This window comes from Homo sapiens, chromosome 1 (genome assembly GCF_000001405.40).
Source record: "Homo sapiens chromosome 1, GRCh38.p14 Primary Assembly".
Classification (NCBI taxonomy): domain Eukaryota; kingdom Metazoa; phylum Chordata; class Mammalia; order Primates; family Hominidae; genus Homo; species Homo sapiens.
In genome coordinates, this window is record NC_000001.11 from 23737422 (window position 1) to 23743272 (window position 5851).

The window sequence follows — 5851 nt, forward strand, 5'->3', positions numbered from 1 at the left end:
AAAAAAAAAATATGGAGCGCCTATTAGGTAACCAGGCACTGTTTTAGCTACAGTGATGTCTCATGGAGCTTACATATTGGGAAGAGACTATAAGAAGTGCCTCTTAAGTGCGCTATGTGCCACTTAAGTAAGGTAATTTCAAATTGTCTAAGTGCTGTAACAAAAATAAAACAAGATAAAGAGCTAAGGGAAGGCCTGCAGACAGGCTTCCACCTGGATACAATTTATATAAATCCATAAAGTTTAACAGTATCAAAGTATACTTGTTACTTTTTAATTTTTTTTTTTTTTTTTTTGAGACAGAGTACTTGCTCTGTCGCCCAGGCTGGAGTGCAGTGGCACTATCTCGGCTCACTACAACCTCCGCCTCCCAGGTTCAAGCGATTCTCCTGCCTCAGCCTCCGGACTGGCTGGGACTACAGGCATGTACCACCAAGCCTGGCTAATTTTTCTTATTTTAAGTAGAAACGGGGTTTCGCCAAACTGATCTCGAACTACTGACCCCAGGTGATCCACCCGCCTCAGCCTTCCAAAGTGCTGGGATTACGGGCATGAGCCACTGTGCCCGACCTACTTTTTAATTTTAACGGTAGCTTTTTTCCCCCTAGTAAATACAGATTCTCAGTAGACTGCTTGTCATGAGCAGAGAGAAGTCTGTGTTCTACCCTCTTTTGACAAAAGGCCTCAGAGGTTATCTAGGTCTGATATCTTTAAATTGTTAGTGGAAAGTTTCATCCACCTTTCAAGACATTATGTGAAAGTTGTGGATTTTGAATCTCAAACACTACACCCTGGAGCTGGCAGTCTCCACATGCCATTACTATATTTGAAGAGGGTGAATTCAGTTTGTGAAACCCAAAAAGATGCCATCCGTAAGTAAATAACCAACTGAATGTTGGTTGAAGGATGTGAAACAAAGATGAGTGTAGTCAATTCAGAAACATGAACCCATGGGGAAGAGAACAGTGGCCACAGCTGTGCAGAACAAAACTGGCCAGATGGGCCAGGCACAGTGGCTCACACCTGTAATCCCAGCACTTTGGGAGGTTGAGGCAGGCGGATCACCTGAGGTCAGGAGTTCGAGACTAGCCTGGCCAACATGGTGAAACCCTGTCTCTACTAAAAATACAAAAATTAGCCAGGCGTGGTGGCACACACCTGTAATCCCAGCTACTGGGGAGGCTGAGGCAGGAGAATTGCTTGAGCCCGGGAGGCAGAGGTTGTAGTGAGCCAAGATCCTGCCAATGCACTCTAGCCTGGCTGACAGAGCGAGACTCTGTCTCAAAACAAAAACAAAAACAAAAACAAAAACAAAAACAAAAAAAACTTGCCAGATGGAGGATTTTATATCTTGCTTTACAGCAGCACATTATATTTTCTTTACCAAGGCAATGCATTTTCCCCAATAATTGCTGCCTTTTCAAAAAGACCTATTATATGCCAATTACTTGACATATTAATAAGCCTCAGGATATCTATACAGTAGGAGGAAAAAATTTCAGCAAGTTTAAGTAACTTGATCAGGAGCCATGGCTAGCATTGGTGGAATTGGGATTGGAGCCCAGGTTGTCACTAAGCTCCAAGCTTTGTTCTTTACACCACCATCCAAGCAACTTCAGATGCTGCCTACTTGCTAAGATAGAGTGGCAGACCTCTCGGCAGAAGAGGTCCAAGGAGGAAGCCCGCTTGAGCCACCATGCCTCACTTAGCACACTGTCAGGCCCGCAGAATCTTACTTGACTGTTTTATGAAAGGGCTCCTCTCTGCTATGAGGACAAGATGGTTGATTTTTTTTTTTTTTTTGAGACAGTTTCATTCTTGTTGCTCTGGCTGGAGTGCAATGGTGCAGTCTAGCTCACTGCAACCTCCATCTCCCAGGTTCAAGTGATTTTCCTGCCTCAGCCTCCCAAGTAGCTGGGATTACAGGCACCCGCCACCACACCCGGCCAATTTTTTTTTTTTTTTTTGAGACAGTTGTTGCCCAGGCTGGAGTGCAATGGCGCAGTCTCAGCTCACTGCAACCTCCGCCTCCCGGGTTCAAGTGATTTTCCTGCCTCAGCCTCCCAAGTAGCTGGGATTACAGGCACCCGCCACCACACCCGGCCAATTTTTTTTTTTTTTTTTTTTTTTGAGACAGTTGTTGCCCAGGCTGGAGTGCAATGGCGCAATCTTGGCTCACTGCAACCTCTGCCTCCTGGGTTCAAGCAATTCTCCTGCCTCTGCCTCCTGAGTACCTATGATTACAGACAGGTGCCACCACGCTGGGCTAATTTTCATGTTTTTAGTAGAGACGGGGTTTCACCATGTTGGCCAGGCTGGTCTCGAACTCCGGACCTCAGGTGATCCACCCACCTCTGCCTCCCAAAGTGCTGAGATTACAGGCATGAGCCACTGCGCCCGGCCTGAAAATTTTTTTAACTTGTCTTTCAGTGTTTTAAATCTCTCTAATGCTAGCCAGCCTAGGATTACTCTTTTCCAAAATTAAAATACCTTTAAGTTATTTTCATTATAAAAATAGACCAGACTGGGTGCAGTTGCTCATGCCTGGAATCTCAACACTTTGGGAGGCTAAGGCGGGAGGATCACTTGAGCCCAGGAGTTCAAGACCAGCGTGGGCAACCTAGTGAGACCTTTTCTCTACAAAAAATAAAAATAAAAAAATTAGCTGGGCATGGTGGCATACACCTGTAGTCCCAAGCTGAGGCAACAGGATTACTTGAGCCCAGGAGGTCAAGACTGACAGTGAGCCGTGAATGTGTCAGGGCACTCCAGCCCGGGCAACAGAGTGAGACCCTGTCTCAAAAAAAAATAAAGTAAGGGCTGGGTGCGGTGGCTCATGCCTGTAATCCCAGCACTTTGGGAGGCCGAGACGGGCGGATCACGAGGTCAGAAGATCGAGACCAGCCTGGCTAACACGGTGAAACCCCATCTCTATTAAAAATACAAAAAAAATTAGCCGGGTGTAGTGGCGGGCGCCTGTAGTCCCAGCTACTCAGGAGGCTGAGGCAGGAGAACGGCATGAACCCGGGAGGCAGAGCTTGCAGTGAGCCGAGATCGCGTCACCACTCCAGCCTGGGCGACTGAACGAGACTATACTGAGTAGACTATACTTGCTGCAAAAATTCAAAAAAGTGTACGGAGCAGATGAGAGCCTCCTTGCCCATCCTCCTCCCCTAGTATAGCCTTGAATTCATCTCCCAAACAGAATAGGATGGGTCTTTTAGTTACTCTCGCAGAGGGCTCTGTAGTGCTGATAAGAGAGCTGAGGAGCCCCTCTTAGGTTTTCAGATGACACGTCAGGCTAGCCTTATATTTAATAATTTAAATTTAATAATAATTATTTCAGTTTTCAAGAAACTTACTGAATCTCACCTATGTGCTAAATGTTGCTGATTGAAGATGGGTAAATAGCCTCTGACCTTAGGGATCTCATTCCTGTGTTGAACACTCGTGTGTAAACCAAGGGTTACAATGGTAATCCCCCAGTGAATACATACAGAGTACCAATTTTAGAAGTGGTTGAAAAGTTTTTTTAAAAAATCAGAGAATTACACATGTATAATTAGCTGCTCATCCTAGAAGTCATATATCCAGACCAGGCGTGGTGGCTCATGCCTGTAATCGCAGCACTTTGGGAGGCTGAGGCGGGTGGATCACTTGAGGTCAACAGTTCGAGACCAGCCTGGCCAATATGGTGAAACCCCGTCTCTACTAGAAATACAAAAATTAGCCGAGCGTAGTGGCGCATGCCTGTAGTCTCAGCTACTCGGGAGGCTGAGGCAGAAGAATTGCTTGAACCTGGGAGGCAGAGGTTGCAGTGAGCCCAGATCTCGCCATTGCACTCCAGCCTGGGTAACAGAGTGAGACTCTGTCTCAAAAAAAAAAAAAAAAAAAAGTCATATATCCAAATGTAAGAGTACTTTGCAGGTAAGCCTGACTCAGTCTGACATAGGGGTGGCTGTCTGGGAGCAGCACACCCACTCCAGGATCCCCCAGAAGCATTCGTTGTTTCTTTCTGTTTTTTTTTGGTTTTGTTTTTTCTGTTGCCCAGGCTGGAGCAGTGGTGCGATCATGGCTCACTGCAGTCTTGATCTCCTGGGCTCAAATGGTTCTCCTAACTCAGTCTCCCAAGTAGCTGGGACCACAGGCACGCACCACCATGCCTGGCTAATTTTAAAATTTTTGTATTTTTTGTAGAGGCTGGGTCTTACTACGTTACCCAGGCTGGTCTCAAACTCCTGGGCTCAAGCAGTCCTCCCGTCTTGACCCCCAAAGTGCTGGGATTACAGGCATGAGCCACTGTGCCCAACCTCATTGTTTCTTTTCATTTTGGTTATTGAGCTCTCTCTGGATAACATCTGCAGAATGTTTCATGTGTCCCGAGTATGTGCCAGGCCAATTACTCAGCAATTCTGCTTCAAGAATCAGTCTGTATTCCATTACACCAGTGGTACATTTTCAAAATGGAAGGAATATAAAATGTAAAAGTATTTGCTACGCAGAGGAGGGAGACACTACTGCTGGGACTAGAATCGAAGTTTTCTCACACCCAGTTCAATGCCTTTTCTACAACATCCCTCAGTTGAGCCTTAGGGTACCAAGTGGATGGTCATTAGTCTTGTATGGACTTTATATCCAATGCTGATTATAAGGTCTAGATGATGCTAGGTGGCAGAGATTCAAAGTTGGACAGGTCGGTTACTGTACTTGATAAATAAACAGCCCAGTGGCAAGACAGATAAATAAACTGACCATTTACACCCTGAAAAGGTGGTCAGTTGCTTAGGGAACTGGGGGAGGGGCGCCAAATGGAGGAGTAGGGACATGGTAGAGAGGGCTTTTCAGCATAGTGAGTGAATGAATGCTCATTTGAAGAAACAACTTGTGTTTAAGATGTTTTTCTTTCTTCCAGAGCTAGAATCTGGAAGAATCTCTGGGCTTTCCTGCTTTGAGGGAGAGATCAGGCTAGGTGCATTGCCAATTTGCTGCTGAAGATCTGATTAGGTTCTGCTTTGATGTGATCAAATGAGATGTAATCAGTGCTGGTACTTTAAGTGAGTTTGCAACTATTTAGTTGCTCTTTTTAGTAGTAGTATTAGTAATGGTAAAACTTAGTGCTTTTAGGATGAGAGTAGACGGCCTGAAGAATAATATCTTGGGCTCTTCTAATCAAGCCATACGGCTCATTGGCAAGTCATCAGAGGAAACATCTATCTATCTATACATTCATGCAATAAGTATTTATTTAGTGCCTATGTGCCAGACACTGTTTGTGGGGAAAACAAGACACATGGGCTATTATTGCCTCATGGAAGGAACTAAGCTGTTTGGATTTTGAAAAATCCCTTTCTCTGGGCCTCAATTCCTCGACCTGTTCAGAAATGTGCGCTCACAATGGTCCTAGACATCTTAGATTCAGGTTCCATTTTCAGTTCTTTCCTGTCCTGCGGCCATCTGCAAGTTAATTTGGTCTCCCTGAACCTCAGTTTCCTCATCTGTAAAATGAAGATCATACAACTCGTTTCATCAGGTTGTACTGAGGCTGGAAAAGATAGTCTAACTACTGACGCATCGTGTGCTCAGCCTAGGGTGGCTGCTACCGCGGGTGCCTGCGGACTCCTAGGACGGGCACCAGCCCGGGACCCCTGACAAGGTGTTGATTAGGGTGTGGCTAAGCCCCAGGCGGGAGAAAGCGTTGGCATTTATAAGGCCAGGGTCTGGCGCGGTGGCCTCATTCCGTCTTGAAGTAGACCCTGGAGAGGTCTTCCAGGCTTGGGCTCAGCACGCGAGCACAGGGAGCGGGGGTGCCGGCGGCGGAGGCGCGTACGGCCCGAGCAGCCCCCAGCCCCCA